This window comes from Homo sapiens, chromosome 9, assembly GCF_000001405.40.
Source record: "Homo sapiens chromosome 9, GRCh38.p14 Primary Assembly".
In the NCBI taxonomy this organism is placed as follows: domain Eukaryota; kingdom Metazoa; phylum Chordata; class Mammalia; order Primates; family Hominidae; genus Homo; species Homo sapiens.
In genome coordinates, this window is record NC_000009.12 from 132812646 (window position 1) to 132833754 (window position 21109).

General features: G+C 45.3%; 1 protein-coding gene across 14 annotated transcripts in view; it reads right to left on the reverse strand.

Moving 5' to 3' along the window:
• The window catches only part of AK8 (adenylate kinase 8), a 153469-nt gene that overhangs the window by 87068 nt on the left and 45292 nt on the right, over positions 1–21109 (reverse strand). For 12 of the 14 annotated variants that reach the window (NM_001371771.1, NM_001371773.1, NM_001371772.1 and 9 more), the window contains 5 exons: positions 16000–16081; positions 15368–15439; positions 14209–14409; positions 10560–10691; positions 1993–2082 (listed from right to left, as the gene is read on the reverse strand). In NM_001371771.1, the coding sequence (NP_001358700.1) occupies positions 1993–2082; positions 10560–10691; positions 14209–14409; positions 15368–15439; positions 16000–16081 (577 nt within the window). Of the gene's footprint in view, positions 1–1992; positions 2083–10559; positions 10692–14208; positions 14410–14661; positions 14831–15203; positions 15440–15999; positions 16082–21109 lie in introns of those variants that run through there. The other 2 variants (NM_001317959.2, XM_017014308.2) reach the window with 2 other exon arrangements.

Below are 21109 nucleotides of genomic sequence, written 5' to 3' on the forward strand. Positions count from 1 at the left end.
CGACCTTGCAGGAAGGGACCTCTACCTCCATCCTGCCACCCGGAAGCCTGGGGCTTCGAGAAGGGCAGGGTGGTTTATTGGTGCCACATGGCTGGTGGGGGCAGCGCTGGAATCTGAACCAGACTGGGAAGCATAAGAGCTCGTGCTGGTTTTCACCCTCCCTGGTGCCTCCTACATCCACCTCATTCTGTGGCCACCGCAGACACCCAGGACCAGACCCACTCACTGCCCTGAGCCTACACAGATCACCTCATTCTGTGGCCACCGCAGACACCCAGGACCAGACCTGCTCACTGCCCTGAGCCTACACAGATCACCTCATTCTGTGGCCACCGCAGACACCCAGGACCAGACCCGCTCACTGCCCTGCACCTACAGAGATCACCTCATTCTGTGGCCACCGCAGACACCCAGGACCAGACCCGCTCACTGCCCTGAGCCTACACAGATCACCTCATTCTGTGGCCACCGCAGACACCCAGGACCAGACCTGCTCACTGCCCTGAGCCTACACAGATCACCTCATTCTGTGGCCACCGCAGACACCCAGGACCAGACCCGCTCACTGCCCTGCACCTACACAGATCATTGCGTCTGACGGCTCCTACTCCACACACTTGAACTCCACCCCGCGGACTAGGACATCTTAAGGAGGGACTTGGGAGGGCTGGCCAGGACATCTCCCGGGGAGGCCCAAGCAGAGGATGGCTGGGAGGACAGAGCCTGTTTTCATGTGCTTCCTCCTCATCAACCTGCTCCATCTAGAAAGTGGTAGGAGAAGGCCACAAGCTTCCACCAGGAGGATTCCTAGCCAATGCCCGCACTGCTCACTATAATGGCAGCTGCTTCTGGAATTCATTTTCTTCACAATAAGCACGTGTTCACAACAGACTTGATAAGTGGGTGTGCACTGACTGCAGGGAGGAGCTGCAGCATGTGCAGGGGAGGAAGGTGTGGGTGCGTGAGTGGGAAATTCACTGCCCCAGGGAAGAGACAGATGCAGGATCCCCAGAAGCCCAGCCGCCAACTGGCTGTGTGGCCTCAGCAGCTCAGTCCCTTCTCTGAGGCTCCTTCGTGGACTCAGGAAGCCTGACTAGAATGCTCCCAAAGGTGCCCTTACTGTGGGTCAGATCCTAGGAAAGCTTTCAGACTGTGGATCACAGAGGGCACCTGGGAAGAGGATCTGGTCCTGCTTCGCCTGTCAAACAGGCGAGCATCTAACTGCTGAGGACCAATGCCGGTCAACACTCACATCTGCAAAGCTGTCTGAAACTTCTGGCTTCTAAGTGCTGATTAAATTGGAATATTTGCCCACAGTATTTTTATATACCAAATAATAAAGGATGTGGGGGCAGGAAGTGGTGGCTTACACCTGTAATCCCAGCGTTTTGGGAGGCTGAAACAGGAGGATCACTTGAGCCCAGGAGTTCAAGATCAGCCTGGGCAACATGGAGAAATCCCATCTCTACAAAGAATACAAAAAATTAGCCAGGCATGGTGGCATGCACCTGTAGTCCCAGCTACTTGGGAGGCTGAGGTGGGAGGATAACCTGAGCCCAGGAGGTTGAGGCTGTAGTGAGCTGAGACTGCACCACTGCACTCCAGTCTGAGTGACAGATTGATACCCTGTCTCAAAAAAAAAAAAAAAAAAAAAAAAAAAAAAGGATGTGGGGAGGTCTGTGGCCTCTCCTGGCTCTCAATTTTAAATGGTACCAGTTATGAAAAGCCAACCGTCTTGAGAAATAGGAACATCCTAAACCATCAGGGATAACCCCCCCACATCCACAAACTCACCTCACTGGGGATCGGGCTCAGACACCAAGAGGCCTTACCGGAAGCAAGCAGCAGAGCCTTTGCTTACAAGAAAACCCAATTTCCATTTCCCGGCTGTTCTCCCCAATTTTGAGCCCCTGAATGTTCAGAGAGCCGCACAAAAAGAAAGTTCTCTCTGGAGCCTGTAAGGTCATGACAGTTAGTGGGAACGTGGCCTACCTGCCATCTCCTTTTCAAAGAAGGGCTGGATGAGCTCGCCAAACGTGGTCCTATCTGCCACAGCCTCTTTCAGCAGTTGCCCACAGCAGACTGAAGGAGAGGGGAACAGAAAGACACCCATTAAATTTTAAATAGGAGGAAGGATGAGAAAAAAAGAACCCCCAGTGCTGCCTGCTGAGGGAAAAAAAAAAGGTCACTGAAAAAAGCATAAAAGGGTTTTTCTGTGTGTGGGTATGTGTCCAAGTAAAAGTAAATATCAAAAAGGAGCCGGGAAATAAATAAAAGAGAGAGGTGGAATGAAAAGGAATGCATTTGGCAAAGAACACATTAAAAATGGACGGCGTGGGGAAGACACTAACGAGGATGTTGCCCACAGAGGAGCCCTGCAGGGCCTCGCTGCACCTGGAATTGCTGCGCAGAACTCGGCGCCCTCCAGGGTGCTGCGGAGGATCAGCGTTCTGGCCGGGGGCTGCTCATCTCTGGGCGATGTGCCTCAAGTGCGTCCACATTTGCACCCTTGTTACACAGCAGAGGGGGTGCAGTGTGTTGCTTCCACAGCCCTTCCAGCTGGCAGGGCATCTCCATGGGATGGTGGGGCCACACAATACGATAGATTCATATTCCAAGTGGGCTGACTCATCATTAAAGGGCACCATGTGGCTGTAATCCCAGCTTTTTGGCTGAGGCGGGCAGATCACTTAAGATCAGGAGTTCAAGACCAGCCTGGCCAACATGGTGAAAATCCGTTTCTACTAAAAATACAAAAATTAGCCAGGTGGGTGGCATATACCTGTAATCCCAGCTACTGGGGAGGCTGAGGCAGGAGAATCACTTGAACCTGGGAGGTGGAGGTTGCAGCGAGCCAAGATCGCGTCACTGCGCTCCAGTCTGGGCAACAGAGCAAGACTCCGTTTCAAAAAAAAAAAGAAAAAGAAAAAGAAAAAAAGGTACCACGCTGCAGTCACCTGGCCAGTGGCGGCTGCCCCGCTCTGGACACCTGCTCGCCCTGGGCAGGAACCTGCCTCTGGCCCCACTGTGTCTCGAGCCCTGAGCTAGGGCCGGCACAAAGGAGGTGCTGGGCAACAAGCATGAGTGAATAAACACAGGCTACCTCCTCCTTGGCTGTGAAAGTCCTTCCTAGCCAAAGCCAGAAGATTTAAACTATATTTTCATGAATTGTTCACTGCACGCTTTTGGCTTTCTTACCTTTAGGGCTAAGAAGTTTTCTGCCTATACTAAGGAGACCAAAAAACATCCTAAAGTTAACTGGATAGCATGAATGTTTAACAAAATTACCATCACCAGGGATTCATTCCTCAATAATGATATGCTTAATTCACTATGTAAATGACAGCAGTTGTCATTTAATTTAATCCAATGTGCTTGGCAGCCTCACCAGCAAAGGACATATAAGTGAGAATAAAGGCTGCTGGGAGCTAGGCGCAGTGGCTCATGCCTGTAATCCCAGGACTTTGGGAGGCCAAGGCGGGAGGATCATTTGAGGTCAGGAGCTTGAAACCAGCCTGGCCAATATGGTGAAACTCCGTCTCTACTAAAAATACAAAAATTAGCCCAGTGTGGTGGTGGAAGCCTGTAATCCCAGCTACTTGGGAGGCTGAGGCAGGAGAATTGCTTGAGCCCAGGAGGCGGAGGTTGTAGTGAGCAGAGATTGGCACCACTACACTCCAGCCTGGGTGACAGAGGGAGACTTTGTCTCAAAAAAAAAAAAAGAAAAAGAAAGAAAAGAAAAAAAAAGCTGCTGAGAACTGAGACAATTCTGTGTGCCAAGCACTGTGCTAAGTGTGCTTTGTTTTATTTGGTCCTCACAATAACCTGCTGTTTCTTAGGTAAAGACACTGAGGCTCAAAGAGATGAAATAACCTGCTTTAGGTCACAGAGCCATTAAGGGGCAGAGCTGGGGTCCAAACCCAGGTCTGCGTGACATCAAACCCATGCTTAGCTTCCAGTTCTGGCCATGAAGGAGTAACAGGTATCATATTTAACTTCTCTTATAGAAAGCTGTGAAACTGAACAAAATCTATGAAGCAATTCTTTAGAGTCATTGGACAACAGAGAGACAGGTCTGTAATCCTTGAGAGGCAGGAAACATACAAAACGAGCCCCATAGTCATCCTGGATTTCTACCTATGGGCACTTCTCAAATCATGGCACAGGAGAAGTGGAGCCCAAACAGATCAGCAGTCTCACTGGGTGGAAGCAACAAAGACTGGAGCTCTGAGACGGCCAGAATTTGTAGAACAGGGTAAGGGAGAGGAGGCAGCTGTGCACAGAAGGAGTTCCAGAAATCTCATAGGGGTTCACTGAGCCTTTGGCCAATATGAAGCTGCACATGTGCAGGGTGAGACTCCAGAGGCCTGGTAGAGAAAAGCTACTGGGAAGCTGTGAACTGAATGGAAATTCACACAGGGCTGGGAGATGCTGGCATTCTGACAACCAAAGTGACAGACCCTGCTGAACACCCCGGACATTCAGCTGAGATTCCAGAAAGGGCAGACCTTAGCTGCAGGGATACTCTAGCCCTAGAGTAAGAACACTCTACTCCCACTTAACAAAGCCTGAAAATAAGCTTCAGTAGGATGGAGTTAATCCTCCAAACTCAATACTCTTAAAGCAGAATGGTGACACAATCCAGACCTTCAAAAATGTGAGAAACACAATGTCTAGCATTTAATCAAAAGCTCCTTGACATGCAAAAAAGCAGGAAAATGTGACTCCTATGAGGAGAGAAAACAGGCCAGAGAATCAGATCGGGGATGACACACATGTCAGAATCAGCACACCAGGACTTTAAAACAGCTATTATGAGTACACTTAAAACCTTAAAGGAAAAGATAGTTAAAATGAGTGAACAGATGGAGAATCTCAGCAGAGAAAGGAAAACTGTGAAAAAGAACCAGATGGAAATTCTGGACCTGGAAAATACAGTATCTTAAATGAAACAAATCACTAGGTGTGCTGCAATCAGTGAATTTAAAGACAGGATAAAAGAGGCAATAGGAAGTAGCCAAACTGCAGCAAAGAGGGGGATGGGAAAGGACCGGAAGAAAAGAACCAAATCTAAGAGACCTAGAGGACAATACCAGACAGTCTAACATATGTGGAACTGTAGTTCCAGAAAGAAGAGAGGCAGGCAGAAAAAAGATTTCAGAAGATAATGACAGGAGAACTTCAAAATTTGATTAAAAATTTCAGCCCACACACCCAAGAATCTCTGAGATCCAAGCAGAACAAACACAAAGTAAGTCACACTTCGATACATCGTAGTCAAATTGCTGAAAGCTAAAGAGAAAATATTAACAGCAGCTGAGGGCAGGGGGAGTGCTTCACATGCAGGGCAACAATGGTAAAAATAACCTCTGAGATTTCATCAGAAGAAGTGCAAGCCGGAAGACAATAGAATGACATCTTTAAAGTGTTAAGAGAAAGAAACTGTCAACATAGATTTCTATATGCAGCCAAAACATCCTTCAAAAATGAAGATGAAATCATATCATTTTCAGGCTATGAAAGCTGAGAAAATTTGTCACCAGCACACTTTCACTACAAGAGCTGTTAAAGGAAGTTCTTCAGGCTGAGAGGAAATGATACCAGATGGAAACCTGGATCTAAACCAAGGAGTGAAGAGTACTGATAGGTGGGTACATATAAAAGTCTCTCCCCCCTTATATCTTCACTTCTTTAAAAGATGAATGACTATTTAAAACAAAAATAATTACAATATATTGTAGGGTTTATAACATACGCAGAAGTAAAATGTATGTCAACTGTAAAGAAGTAAGGTAAATGGAAAAATCTACTGCTGCGAGGCTCTGATATCATACATGGTGAGGTGTAACATTCACTCAAAATAGGCTGGGACAAGCAAAAGATGCATATTTAATCCCTAGAGCAACCACTAACAAAATAAAGCAAAGAGATATGGCTAAAAAGGAAATAGAAGAAAGAAAATGGATTACTAAAAAATACTTGGTTAATCCAAAAGGTGGCAGGAAAGGAGGAACAAAGAACAGATGACACAAGTAGAAAACAAAACAAAACAAAAAAACAGGCCAGGCTTGAGGGCTCATGCCTGTAACTTCAGTGGGAGGCCGAGGCGGGAGGTTCACTTGAGCCCAGGAGTTTGAGGGTGCAACGAGCTATGATTGCACCACTGTACTCCAGCCAGGGCAACAGAGCAAGACCCCGTCTCTTAAAAAAAAAAAAGTGAGACCCAACTATATGCTGTTTACAAGACACATAGTTAGACTATAAGACACAGATAGTTTAAAAGAAAAAGAATAGAAGGTATATCATACAGACACAAATCATAAGAAAGTTAGAGAAACTTCATTAACATCAGACAAAGTGGACTTCAAGAAAATGAGTATTGCTAGAGAGGAAAAGCAACATTTCCTAGCAATAAAAGGGTCATTTCACCAATAACATATAACTATCCTTACTGTATACAGTCAGCCCTCCATATCCATAGTTTCTACACTCATGGATTCAACCAACCACAGATTGAAAATATCTGGGGTAAAAATTACGTCTGCACTGAACATGTAGTCTTTTTTCCTTGTCAGTATTCCCTAAACAATACAGTATAACAACTGTTGCATAGCATTTACATTATATTAGGTATTATAAGTAATCTAGAGATGATTTAAAGTGTATAGGAGAATGTATGTAGGTTATATGCAAATACTACGCCATTTTGTATCAGAGACTGGAACATCCTCGGATTTCAGTATCCAAGGGAGGTCCTAGAACCAATCCCCCATGGATACTGAGGTGTGACAGTATGCACTTAATGACAAATTACATGAAGCAAAAACTTGCAGAGAATAGACAAATCCACAATTCAGAGTTGGGAGATTTTTTAAATGTTGGGCTGGATGATTGTAAAAAATTAAAAATAAAAGAGTTGGGAGAGTTTAACACACCTCTCTCAATAACTGACATAATAAGTAGAGTGAGAATCATTAAGGACATAGACGAATTTCAAAATTTGATTAAAAATTTCAAACATCTTATCCTAATCGATATTATAGAACACTATAACCAACAATGCAGAATACCTATTTTTTTAAGTACACTTGGAATTCACCAGTATAGACCATATATGCAAATTTCAAAGGATCAAAATCACATAGGGTATGTTCTTTTACCACAATAGAATTAAATTAGAAATCAAGACTATAAAGCAATCAGGAAAATCCCCAAATATGTGGGAATTAAGCAAGGTGTATTCTAAATAGTACACAAGTCAAAAAAGAAACCAGAGGCTGAGGTGGGAGGATTGCTTCAGGCCAAGAATTTGAGACCAGACTGGGCAACATAGAGAGATTCCCGTCTTTACAAAAAAAAATTAGCTGAGCATGGTGGCATACACCTGTAGTCCCAGCTACTTGGGAGGCTGAGGCGGGAGGATCACTTGAGGAGTTGGAGGCTGCAGTGAGCCATGACTGCACCACTGCATTCCAGCCTGGGTGACAGAGTAAGACCCGAAAAAAAAAAAAAAAAAAAGACAAAGGGAAGGAAGGAAGGAAGGAAGGAAAGAATTCATGCTCACTGTAAAAAAAAAAAAAAATCTGAATTGTATAATCCACAGCTCTGCCGAGATAAGCAGTTTGGTGTATGGATATTTCTTCATGCTTTTTCTGAGCATAAACTAACATGCTTTTTTGAACAAAAATGAGGTCACCCCCTGGATACTGCTGAGCAAATTGTTTTCTGCCCCTCCCTTATTTAGCCATGTATCACTGACATCAAATCACTTTACAGGTTTATTTTTAACAGCTGCCTCGCAATCCATTACATGGGTTTATCACAACTTATTTCACAAACCTGCTTATTAACAGAGTTAGAGGTTGCCTCTGTTTCTCATTATGCTTCTGCCACATCTCTCCTTACATATCTGAGTGTTGGAGCAGAATAAACTCCTAGGAGTTAAATCCCAGGGTCACAGGGTTTGCGCAGTTAGTGCTTTAACCAACAGTGGCTTTCGCCTTTCAGAAAGTCGTGTCCGTATATACTCCCATCATCCTAAGTGAGGTCTTCTGATGAACTTTGTGGGAGTGAGTGTGGGGGCTGTCTGTTTTTTTGTTGGTTTGGAGATATTTTCCTTTGGCTGAGAGATTCACAGATGTGAAGATTAGAACCAGGCGAGCGGATGGCCGCAGCGGAGCAGACAGCACCTGGAGCTCTGGGTTCAGACACGCATTTGCAGAGAGATCTCAAGGCTACCTGCCTTAGGTCTCTTAAATGGGTTTACTTAAATCTCATGACATCTTGTATTTATCAAGAACACCTTTGAGAAATGTGAACTTTCTGAGATAGTCTCCAAATGCTTAATTATCTAAAAGAGCCCCATCATGGCTCTTAGGTAACAAGCAAAAACCATGATGAGCTTTTCTATTTTCATTTTTGGAAAAATCTAGGCAGGTAATTTCATCTCTTCATGGCTGGTGTGCTGAACGCAATTTGAATTAAAAAAAAAAAACCTTTTATTGAATGAGAGTGTCTGCATCATAAAACAGAGCACCGAGACAATTATTTCCATAAAGCCCTGCACTGCATTAAAGTATTGCTGCCGTGTTTTCAGACTCTCCCTCCACCGCGAGTGCCCCTCCACGCTCACTCTGTCCCTTCCCGTAACGATGTGGGCACATGCTTACGTAAGCAAGTGATGCCGCCACAGGTAGACTGCTGGTCATCGGAACAAAGAAGCCATCCCTAACACTGCTGGAAATTTCATCTTATAATTCTCTTAAGAGGAACAATCAAAAGAAGAAGGAATTATTGAAATAATTTATTTTTAAAAACGGACTCAGGAACATTTTTTATTCTAAATGTCCTGATTAATTTTCCATAGTAATCAAATTTGCAGAGTAATTGTTCAGGTCTCTATCTTCATTTTAGGTGTGTGACTTTTGTCATGGATTCCTTGCTGGTCTCAGTGGCTTTAGAATTGTAAGCTGGAGGAGGCCTGAGAAGCATTTTTATTCAAAACTTGATTCTTCTGGGGTGGTATATACATATATTTGTATGCATATACATATATATACACGTACATTTGTATGTATATACATATATGTATATTTGTATGTATATACAAATATATACATATATGTATATGTGTATGTATATACAAATATATACATATATGTGTATGTATATACAAATATATACATATATGTGTATGTATATACAAATATATACATATATGTGTATGTATATACAAATATATACATATATGTGTATGTATATACAAATATATACATATATGTGTATGTATATACAAATATATACATATATGTGTATGTATATACAAATATATACATATATGTGTATGTATATACAAATATATACATATATGTGTATGTATATACAAATATATACATATATGTGTATGTATATACAAATATATACATATATGTGTATGTATATACAAATATATACATATATGTGTATGTATATACAAATATATACATATATGTGTATGTATATACAAATATATACATATATGTGTATGTATATACAAATATATACATATATGTGTATGTATATACAAATATATACATATATGTGTATGTATATACAAATATATACATATATGTGTATGTATATACAAATATATACATATATGTGTATGTATATACAAATATATACATATATGTGTATGTATATACAAATATACATACAAATGTACAAAAATGTACATATATTTGTAGGTATATTTGTGTGTGTCCATATATTTGTTTGTATTCCCTCTCTATATTCATATGGTATGCCTGTATAATTTGGGGGGGTTGTATGCATATGCATATATTTGGGGGTGCAGGTCTCGTTTCCTTAGTAAATACAGTAGAGGCTACTTAGGTTTGTGGAGCATGGTGTGCGTAGGGGCAGTGCTTTTAACTCCCTTCAACCTGGCAGTGTGTCTCTGCTACAGTTTCTTCCTGATTCCCATCCCTTTATCCTCCTGAACACAAGCTGGCATCCAAGACCGCCTGGGACCACCCCGGGAAAGACCTGGAGAGCTGATTTCAATATTTTCTCTCTTCCTGGTAAAATATTTATTGAAACTGTGCGGAGTGAGAAGTCTTCCTCTGGTTCAGAAATTGTCTGCCTGTAAACACACTGACCTGGGTTGGGGGCACCAAACGAGACTGGAGAAAATAAATAAACAGCACATTCCTATTACGCAGGAGCCAAGGCTTCAGGGGAGATGGCAGGGGTGAGATGGGAGCCACCCCTGGTGTACAGCACAGACAAACCCCCCGCTCCAAAGGATATAAAAAACGATGACTGAAAAATGTTCTGTCTCTTTGGGCTGTGGACATGTTTTTAGTGGTTAATGTTTTTATGGCAATATTCCTCGGGAGGAAGAAAATTCCTGCAAAGATGGACTAACAGAAAATGGTTAAGAACAAAGAGCCAGAAAGAGAAGTGATACTGACCCTTCCCCCCCAACACCACCCCCCATAAAATGAGAGCTGGGGAGGAGGGGCAGGAGGCAGGGAAAGGCTCTCGAAGCTGGGCAGCCCAGCACCTGGGGCACTCACCATTGACAAGCCTGTATTTCTGGGCCAGGAGGGCGGCCTGCAGACTTTTCCCACTGCCCACAGGCCCGAGCAGCAGCACCCTCGGGGTGAACGGGGCATTAGTACGATGGTTGCTTTGGACATAGGTCAGAGCTGGAAAGAGAGGATATGAGGATAATAAACCCAGGTCCTAGAGAACAGGAAACCCGCTTGCAGCCCCTCTGCTTTGACTCTTTTAACGGCAGTAACTCTTTTTCTCTTTCACAGCACCATGGAAGCCCTCTGTGCATCTGGCGAAGAGGCAGGGAAAAGAATTACGTGGCAGGCCTGGGCACCAAGGCAGGGAGCGAGGAGTGAAGTCCACAGAAGCCACCCTGGAGCGCCGCCCTGGATTCCTCTCAACACAGGCGTCTAAACACGTGCAGGTGTCTGCATTTCCTTCCAGGCTGAACTAGGGCTGGCTGTGTTGCAGTTGGGAGACTGGTCCCAGGACATGATAGCACTCTCTATAGGGCTGGTGGCTTTTCCTACTGAATCGGGCTGAGCCTCCCAACCGGAAGCCCCGGAACTAGGCTGGTCTCCTAGAAGTGCACGCTGGCTTTCTGCTAGGTGCACCTGAATGTCAGACACAGGCTTTGATAAACGCATCCAGCCACATGGGGGCCCAGTGCCCAGGGACTTCTAAAGGACTCGAATTGGAGAGTAGTTTGTGCAGCTGCACTCTGGTGACACCAACTTTGTTGCGACTCTCCAAAGAGGTAGTGATCAAAGAGGTCACAGGAGTGGCCAGATGTAGCTGCATGGCCCTGGCCTGTGGTGTGCCCCTGGCATTTGGTGAACAAAGAAGTGAGGAGATGGGGTGAGTGTCTCCAACAATGAGGCCACCTGCACCATGGGGGGCACCGGATGCCAAGAAGCCACAGGGCAAAGCTACTGAACATCAAACCAGGTCACCTCCCGCTGGAGCTCAGAAACAGGGAGCTGTGAGAAAAGGCTAATGAGGCTGTAAAGGCAGCATTTCGGGCACCTGAGGCAGGAGAGATGCCCACAGATGAGGCACGGACCTGTGCCAGCCCCCACCCCAGCGTTCAAAACAGGGCATCCTTCCCCAGGGAGACCTTCCCCCTCCTGCCAAGGCCCCAGACTGTCCTGTGCAAACTCAGCCAGGGGTGGCCCCGTTACACCTTCCTGCCAGTCTGCCTTTACCAATGTGCCTTGCGGTGGGTGCCGTGCTGGGTGAGGGGCCAGGCCATCGTGCCTCCTTCAGGAACATGCCACCCAGGAACCAGGCAGGTTCCTCATCCTCAGCACTACTGACATCTGGGGCCAGAAGATTCTTTGTTGCGGGGCTATTCTGGGCACTGTAGGATGTTGAGAAGCATCCCTGGCCTCTACCCACTAGGTGCCTGCAGCACAACCGCAAGGTATGACAACCAAAAAACCTTTACAGACATTGCCAAATATCCCCGGGGTTGCGGTGGGGGCAAAACTGCCCCCGATTGTGAACCGCTGGGATATGTTCATTGTGAAAATCCTGAACTCTCAAATCTTTGCTGGACTTTTAAATTGGAAGGGTCATTAGAGATGCACAGTCCCCTCTTTTTAGAAGGCAGAGATGAGTTAGAATGGACTTTTTTCCAGGTTGTGATCAGCATCATCAATGGCATGTACTAATTGCTACGACAAATACTCTATAGGCACCATCTCTTTTCTTTGGCCCAACAATCCCATGAGGGTTGCGTTATTCATGTCCCATTTTACAGATGAGCCAATTAGGCTGAGACTTGGCAGAGCTGGGGCAACTCTCCCAAACCACCTGCCATGGGTACCATTCCTCCACTGAGAGAAGCCCAAAGGAAGCTACTCAGGCGAGGCTCTCTTTATTCTCAGACCTTCCATAATCCCGTGCATCTGAAAAGCACAAATACTACAGGCAAAGCAGCCTGCTTACAAATGATGCTTAATTTACAGTAAATAACTAAGTTAATTAGAAGTAATGATCCCCCAGACAGTCTCAACATCTAATTATTCTTTTTAAAAATGTGTGGTTGCTGGATGCACTGCAGAGAGATTAGAAAAACAACACAGAGAGAATTCTGCATTCCAATTTTCAATTTATCTCTCTGCATTATTAATTAATAATAATTAATATTCAGACACTCACATTTTTATTTACAATTCCAGGCATGAATTCTTTATGAACGATCATATGAACTTTTAAATTTAATTAAGTAATTTGGAAGTAATTAATGTGTAAATTCAGAATCATGGCATAAGATAAATGTTGTGGTTGTTTATCTTAAGAGTGCAGTGTTTGTTACTAATGACCCTTCCGAGATGCAAAATCACTGGAAAATTATAAGCCATCATAAGCCTGGCATTTCTTCTTTAAGTAGCGACATTTTCTACTAACCCACCCGCTGGCTGATTGCTCCCTTCAGAGGGCGAGGCTGTTCAATCCACGCCGGCAAACACCGCATCTCCGAGCTCAGTGTAGCAATGAGGTTTAAGCACCGAGTCTACCAGCAGGAGAAGGTGCTGGGAAAGTCAGCAGGGAAGGGCTTGAGGGAGCTCAAAACCACTTCCCCGGCAAAACAGGACTTTTCTTGGAGAGTTTTGAGAGAATATATGAAAAAAAGGACTTTGTAAACTGTCAAGTGTCTTAAATATCTGTGATGTTCCCATCGTAAACGCTTCATTTACCCAACACTGTGTGGAAGGGTAATTTTGAGACGACTGGATTTTGAGATACTGCATTTTGAGATGACTGAAGCTCAGCAAGACTTTTGAAAAGGATAATACAGCTGTTTGGGGATAGAATTATTCTACCTTGCCCTTGCCTTTTTGGGCAGGGTGTTGAACAATGATAGGAGCTATGACGACTGATGTTTATTGAGGCTTTTCTCTGTGCCAGAACTGGGCTTGTGGCTGTGGACACGTGATTTGGAGAATCCCATTTAATCCTCACCTACGCCTGGGAGGAGGGCACAAGTTTTGTTCCTATTTTAGCGATGCCAAAACTAGGGCTCCGAGGAGTTAGGAGAAGTGCCAGAGGCTGCACAGCTGGGCTGCGTCGGGGCTGAGATTTGAACAGGTTGCTCAGCTCAGCCATCCCCGCACCTCGCACAGGCTGCCCGCAGTGGCTCCCGAGCTGCTGTGAACATTGGCCATTGCTGTGGACAGCAACGCAGTGCCAGGCGCGGGGCCATGTATCTCCATCCTAAATGAAGCATACCACCTGTGCTGTGTGTGTGTGTTTTATTGTGTTGTGTGTGGTGGTGGTGGTTTTGTTTTTGTCTTAATCTTTATATATTTTTTCTTTCCTCTCCCTCAAGGTCAGGCTCAAACTTCTTGCTACCATGTCCCTCCCACCCCATCCCTTGCCTCTCCTCCTCCCGACCCCACGACCACCAAATCTGCTGTGGGCCAGAGATGTGACCACATCTGAGTGTGGGACATTAGCCCAGGGTCTCCAAGTGGGGTACCCCCAGGGGCTCTGCACACATGCATTTCTGGGCAGGGAACCCGGGTCATCTATGTCTTGACTTCCAGGGTCCCAGGCATGTCCCAGACACTGGCCACTACCAGAATAAGGGACAAAGTGGTAGAAGGCACAGCGAGCCCCGCCCTTGGCCGTCTGTCCAGGGTGGGGCTGCCTGCTTGTGTTTACCCTGGTAGAAGACGTCCACACATGGCTGGTCAGCACTGATGACTTTGAGGATTTTGGGGTAGGAGGGAATGACCCTGACGATGTTCCTATGATACTCCAGCAGTTTCTGAGCCGTCTCCAGCTCTGAGATGTCCTCTGGCACCATGAGACGGTTCTGGATTTCAGATTCGGGTGGCCAGTCAAAGGTGGTGTGATAAATCTCTACAAGGAGAGAGGTGCACAGTTAGAAATGGCCATGCAGGGGCCCTGTGGGCGCTGCTGTGCCTGGCTGGGGTGCTTGCTGTCCTGGAGGCCAGGCCCTACACATTCCTGGGGTGTGGCTGACCACGGCAGGACACCGTTGCTCAACACCAGCACTTCCAGCTACTCTGAGCCTGCTCTTAACTATTATTCTTGTTACAATACAAGAACAGGACCCAGGGCAAGGGCTGCCGTGAACTTCTGAGCACTTACTCTGTGCCAGCCACTCTGATAGGCACCTGCAGACTCCCATTTCATCTTCACAGCCATCCCATCACCCATTAGGTTGGTATTTTCATCCTCAAGTACAGATAAGAAAACTGAGTCTCAGGTATCCCATGTCTACAGCCAGAAAGGGACAGAGTTAGGGATCCACAAACCCAGCTCTATCTGCCACCACAGCGTGAGGCCCGGAAGATCAAGGGCAGTCCCGTCTCCCCCCACCCTCCCGCCAGCCCCTTGCTGAACTGCCTGGTCTTCAAGGCCCAGTTCAAGGGCCCCGTCCCCTGCAACACCTGCCAATTCTCCCAGGTAATGCTCATGCCTCTCTCTCCTGTATAAATACCAAAGAATAAGGGGTGTCAAGGGGGCACATAATTTGTCCCAGGGAGAGGCAGACATGTCCCCTGGCTCCTGTGTGGGCCCCAAGCCCAGGTGCCTGGCATGACCCCCCACACTCTATTCTGGTTCTGCCACAAGAAAGTCTCCTCCTTTAGCCTAAACAGGCCTCCATTTCCTCATCTACCAGAATGTACCCTTGCCAGTGTCTTCCAGCTCAGAGCCCAGCCTGTGGCAGCCTTCCTCGTGTCCCTCTGTGGGTGCCCAGAGCAGAATGCGAGGTCAGGAAATGGTAGACGGGCTGTCATCACCATGGACTCTGAAACCCCATGGGGCTGGGTGGGGGTGGCCGTAGCCATACCTCCAGTTTGAGGGTCGATTCTCTTCCCCAAGTTTCTCTCGATCAGGACCGTGTCTGGAGCACTCAGCACAACTGGGCAGAGAAGAAAAGGAGCAAAACCAGGCATGTCGGGCAGCGGGTGCCACACATTTGAATATCACAGACCAATACTTGCTTTACGTTTTTTGCTTTTCTGTATAATGACATTAAAACAACAATCATCTCCCATCCCCGTGAATTCCTAAGAGAAAGGTCTTCTCGCACCCAAACACAAAGAGTGTAACGTTGGGACAGAGCACGGCCCATGACGGAAAGTTCTGCCTGTTAACAATTTCCCTCGTCACAGATAACGCCACAATGGGCATCTCTGTGCGCACTAAATGCTTGCACAGCATTCTATGCTATGCATAGAATATGCATTTCCTTCCTGAGACAAGGAATCGCCAGGCTGAAAACGAAACCCCACTTTTCTTAAGAACCAGCCCTGAATATATTTAGCTCTGTGAAAAATTCAGTTGTGCTGTCCTCTTCCTTGCTGGGTCTCAGACGGTGCCTGGGCTGAGGTCAGGAGCAGGCAGCATGAGCGGGGCGCTCACTGGCCACCCCTTGGGGCTGCAGCTCTGGCAGGTGGGGGACCCTTGGGAGCTACTCACTGACGTGTCTGGGTGTGATCCCCAGGGTCTGGATCCTCAGAGCCTGCTCACGCGTCTCAGGGATGCCATCCAGAATCCAGCCCTAGACAGAAGATTCAGAGAGGTGCTCATCTGTTTTGAGTTTTAGATTTTTTGGAATTATTTTAAAAGGAATATAATAGCTTTATAGAAAGACTAGAACTTTTAAGACAAAAAAAATGTTTCTGATAGCTACCTCACCCTTCTTTAAAAACTACTTTGTAATATATTATTATATTCCCTTCCGAATCATATCTTGGTGATTATAATCATAACATATATATTTTACATCTTGATTTTTTTTTTTTTTTGAGATGGAGTTTCACTCTCGTTGCCCAATCTGGAGTGCAATGGCACAATCTCGGCACACTGCAACCTCCGCCTCCTGGGTTCAAGCAATTCTCCTGCCTCAGCCTCCCAAGTAGCTGGGATTATAAGCATGTGCCACCACACCCGGCTAATTTTTTGTATTTTTAGTAGAAACAGAGTTTCACCATGTTAGCCAGGCTGGTCTCAAACTCTTGACCTCAGGTGATCTGCCCACCTTGGCCTCCCAAAGTGCTGGGATTACAGGCGTGAGCAACTGTGCCTGGCCTACATCTTGATTTTTTTCTACCACACAATAGCGACCACAAGCATCTCTTCATATCTGCACAGCTCCTCATTGTCCACATTATCAACGGCTGTGCAATGTCCCACCAAGAGAATGTACACAGCCACTTAACTATGTCCACAAATGAACATTTCAACTGCGGGCAGTGTTCACTATCATAGATAATACCTCGATGAACATCTTTGTGCATCTAGCGCTTTCCACATTTTGGATAATTTCCTAAAGACAGTTTCTGAGAGATTCCTGAGACCAGGGTGAAAACAAAACCCCACTTTTGTTTTCATTTTCTGCCCCATATATCTGCAGGAACACCCCATTTTTCTTAAAAAAAAAAACCCTGGACGATGATTCCGGTTTCTACTCTGCGGCTAACTTGTTACAGGATTGAAATTCCTCACCCATCAGCCCCCTCTTGGTACAGCTAGGGAACTGGTTTAGAGGTTTATTTTTACTATTTATTTATAGAGATAGAGTCTTGCTACGTTGCCTAGGCTGGTCTTGAACTCCTGGGCTCGAGCAATCCTCCTGCCTCAGCCTCCCTAGTGCTGGGATTACTGGCGTGAGCCACTGTGCCTGGCCTTTACTAACTCTTTAAATCCAATTGTGAAAGTAATATACAATCATTGTACACTGTGTGGAAAATATTGAAAAGCTGAAATAATAATAAGAGTCACTGGTAACACCTCAGACCCAAACAAGCCACTGTCAACATTCTGGTATATCTCCTTCCAAGCAGCAAGTGCAGATACCTTTTTTCCCGGTGGCTGGGGGTTGTGGGGAGGGGAACCACACTGTACACACTGTTTGGTAATCTGTTCTTTTCTAGCAAAAACATTTCATGAACGTTTTCCCATGTCACAAAGTGCTCCTTGCATAGAAGTTTTCACAGCTGCCTGGTATTGTATGAATTGACCTGATGTTAACTGATCCCATATTGTTGCTCATATTGCTCAGTTTGACTCCAGTTTTCCACCATTATAAACAATGTTGTATATGCATCTCGATGCCTATCAAACATCCTCAGATAAATTTCTAAAAGTTGATACCTTCTTTTACGACTTTTGATACATTTTGCCACATCGCTCTACAAAATGGCCCACTAGTTTATGAATCCAATGGCAAAGCATGTTTCCTTGCATCTCTGCCAATGTTGGGCATTATCTAGGGGAAAAAAATCTGTCCAGCAAAATACAGTATACCACTGCTGCTTTAATTTACATTTCTTTGATCATTAATGAGGTTCAGTATTTTTTCCATATGTTTGTTAGCTATTTGGATTTTTTTTTCTTTTCCAAAATGTCCATTTGTGTCATCTATCTACTTTCCCCTTGGGGTCGCATCCTTTTATTTATTGACAACAGCTCTTTACATATTAAGAACGTGAACCCATTTTGGCAAACACTACCACAAACCCTTTGAGGCAAACTATGTTGCCAATATTTTCAGCAGTTTGTCTTGCAGCCTTTTCATTTTGTGTGTGGTGTTGCTTTTAACACACCAGTTTGTGGCCAAATGAATCGCTGCTTTCGTCTTTGGATTCTGGCATTGTGTGGATGCATAAAACACCCTCCCCCCTGAAAAAGCTGATACATATTCACTTGCCTTTAAATTGTGTTCTTGTGTTTTTACTCTTTACATGTAAATAGTAATGATTTGTGTAATAGGGCTGCATTCCAGTGTGCGAATGATATAGGGCTGTGATCTACTCTGTTTCCTTATGGCTCACCACCTGTTCCAAACTCACCCACAATACAGTCTATCTTTTCCCCTCTGAGGACACTTATCACAGTCTAAATGCTGATACGACATTGGCTCTGGCCTCTTTCTGCCTGTAGATTGTTAAATTCTTTTTATTTAACTGTTTAAATTGTTGTTTTATAAGTTATCGTAATGTCTAGTAAAATACGCTCTCCCTTCTTTTTTTTTTCAAAGCAAGATCTTTCAGGTAAACATTAAAAATATTTTGTCAAGTTCCCAAATAGAAATTCCACTGGGATTCTGGAACAACATTAAATGTGTAGATCAATTCACGACAAATTGACATTTTTACACTATCAAGTCAATGCATTATCGTCTCATGTGCTTAAGTTGTTTTTTATGTCCCTCAGCAATGTTCACAATAAACAATTTCTAAAGTCCTTTCAAGTCCCGTGAGTCTAGAGTTACACACACACACACAATGTAATGCTTTAGACTTGATGTCCAGGTACATTAGTAAAGGGAGCTTTGGAAGAGACTGAAAGAAAGCAGCGAGTTGCTTCAAGTCTCCATTGTGTAGGAAGCGGGGTCAGGCAACTGGGAGTCAACGCTGGGAGCCCCCGCTTGCTGTAGAGCCCTCCCTCTCAGCCACTGGGAGACTCAGTTGCTCTAAGGTCAGATGACGGACTGACATGGACGGACTCAGCCTCCAGGTCACTCACGTCCATATCACCTGATCGACAGACACAGTGTGGGCGACTGTAAGAGATGTCTTTCTTTAAAAACAAACCAAAAGGTGGTCTGGGTGCAGTGGCTCATGCCTGAAATCCCAGCACTTTAGGAGGCCAAGGCAGGAGGATCGCTGGATGCCAGGAATTTCAAACCAGCCTGGGCAACACAATGAGACCCCCCCACTCTACCGAAAAAGATTTTTAAAAATTAGCCAGGCGCGTTGGTGCACACCTGTAATCCCAGCTACTTGGGAGGCTGAGGCAGAAAGATCCCCTTAGCCCAGGAATTTGAGGCTGCAGTGAGCTACGATCGTGCTATTGCACTCCTGCCTGGGTGACACAGTGAGACCTTGTCTCTGAAAAAAAAAAAAAAAAAAAAAAAAAAAGGCCAGCATTTCTTCCATATTAAAATATTTAGGTTCCCGTAGCCTCCACTGACATTTAAAAAAAAAAAAAAAAAAAACCTAAACAAATTTACAGCCTAAAGACTGTTGGAAAAATCCAGCAAGCTTTCATTAATTTCTTGAATTATACAGGAAGACTCACAGCCACGGAACCCCTGGTTTCTAGAACTAATGAAGCAAAAGTGCAAAAACAATTTTTAACAGTCTTTTGCTCCCTCAAGTCCTTGTTATAGCCAGCCAAGCGCCGGGCTGCAGCTCTTAGAAAGAGCAAACATCTACAGACGTGAGCAACACCAGCAGAACCAGGAGACGCAGCGTCTGACAGCTCCCTCACAGTTCTGGAAGCCGAACCAACATTTTCTGAACTTTAGCTAAATTCATACCCCCTTATTTTTCCTTCATTTGGACGGGGAGGGATTGTGAGCCCATTGATTGCTGCTTCTAGTACAAGGGCTGGCAATTCTGTTTTAGTCCCTTTTTGAAGCTGGAAGGTTGGAACTCCATCTTTGCTCAGCACTGAAAAAGGCCTCTGCTTTTAATATTGCATTACTGAGCAATCATTATAATCTCACCCATAAATTTGCAGCAGATATCAGTATGTGGTCCAAGGCTTTTAGAACTATTCAGGGGAACAGCTCTCACTGACTTTTCACCAGAGAAAGCGGGACTTCCAATTACACAGGAAAAGTGCAGCAAAATGAGGAACATCTCCCTAATTAGCCTGGCCTCACTGGAGTGTCATTCTGGTGCAGATGTGAAAATCTAAAAGGAAGAAGGTGGGGGGCTCTGGAGTGAGCCCTAGGCCACCAGCTCTCCAGGTCTGCTCTGAGCTGGGGAAATGGTACGATCACCTGGGGACTAAGAAACAAGGTCCCCGAGGAAGCCCTCGAGCAGCACCCAGGCCCCATTAGAGCCACCCCCCACTGTATGGAGAAGGCAGCCATGGAGGCTCTTCCTCTCTGCGCCAGCCCACGCTGGTCCACACTGGTCCACCTGGAAGGGAGGGCGCCTTGACCAAACCTCTGTTGAAGGCGGGTCTGTCCTACGGCATTCTCAAGATGAAAGCTGCAGGCTTGGGGCTCAGAAAAGATCTTCTTTCCCAGAGCTCTTGCATTTAAAGGGGTTATTTGCCCAGCTGCAAAATGGGCTGCACGTTCACAGGGAAGCAGCAATTTTGGCTGGGAGGACTTTAATGGCTACAAATTCTGGCAAAGCAAGAAGTCATAAATCAGTAAATAGCACCCGACAACTGCCATGATGGGACATTAAGACATTCCCAACAAGCCTGTGTTGCGAGGTTCGCGGGTCTCACGTCCAGGAGTGGCTGGATGTGGAGGTATCAGTCAATCCCTAATTAGAATACATTATCCATCTTCCTGACACTTCAGTGAAATGTCTATTCCACTCTGAGCTGCAGCTTTGTTCAGAGCAGGTTAATTGATATTCTGATGCCTTCGCTCACCGTACCCCCGTGGCTCGGTTCTGTTTTATCACACATCAAAAAGGCCGTATGCTCAGGGCACTCCAGGCACCAGTGCAGAGCTGGAGGTCTGCACAGCTGCGAGGGGTATGGTATCACAGGAGGGACAAGCACTGAGCAGATGTCACAGATGAAAAAAAAGCAAAGAAAAGACGCCAGTCAGCCT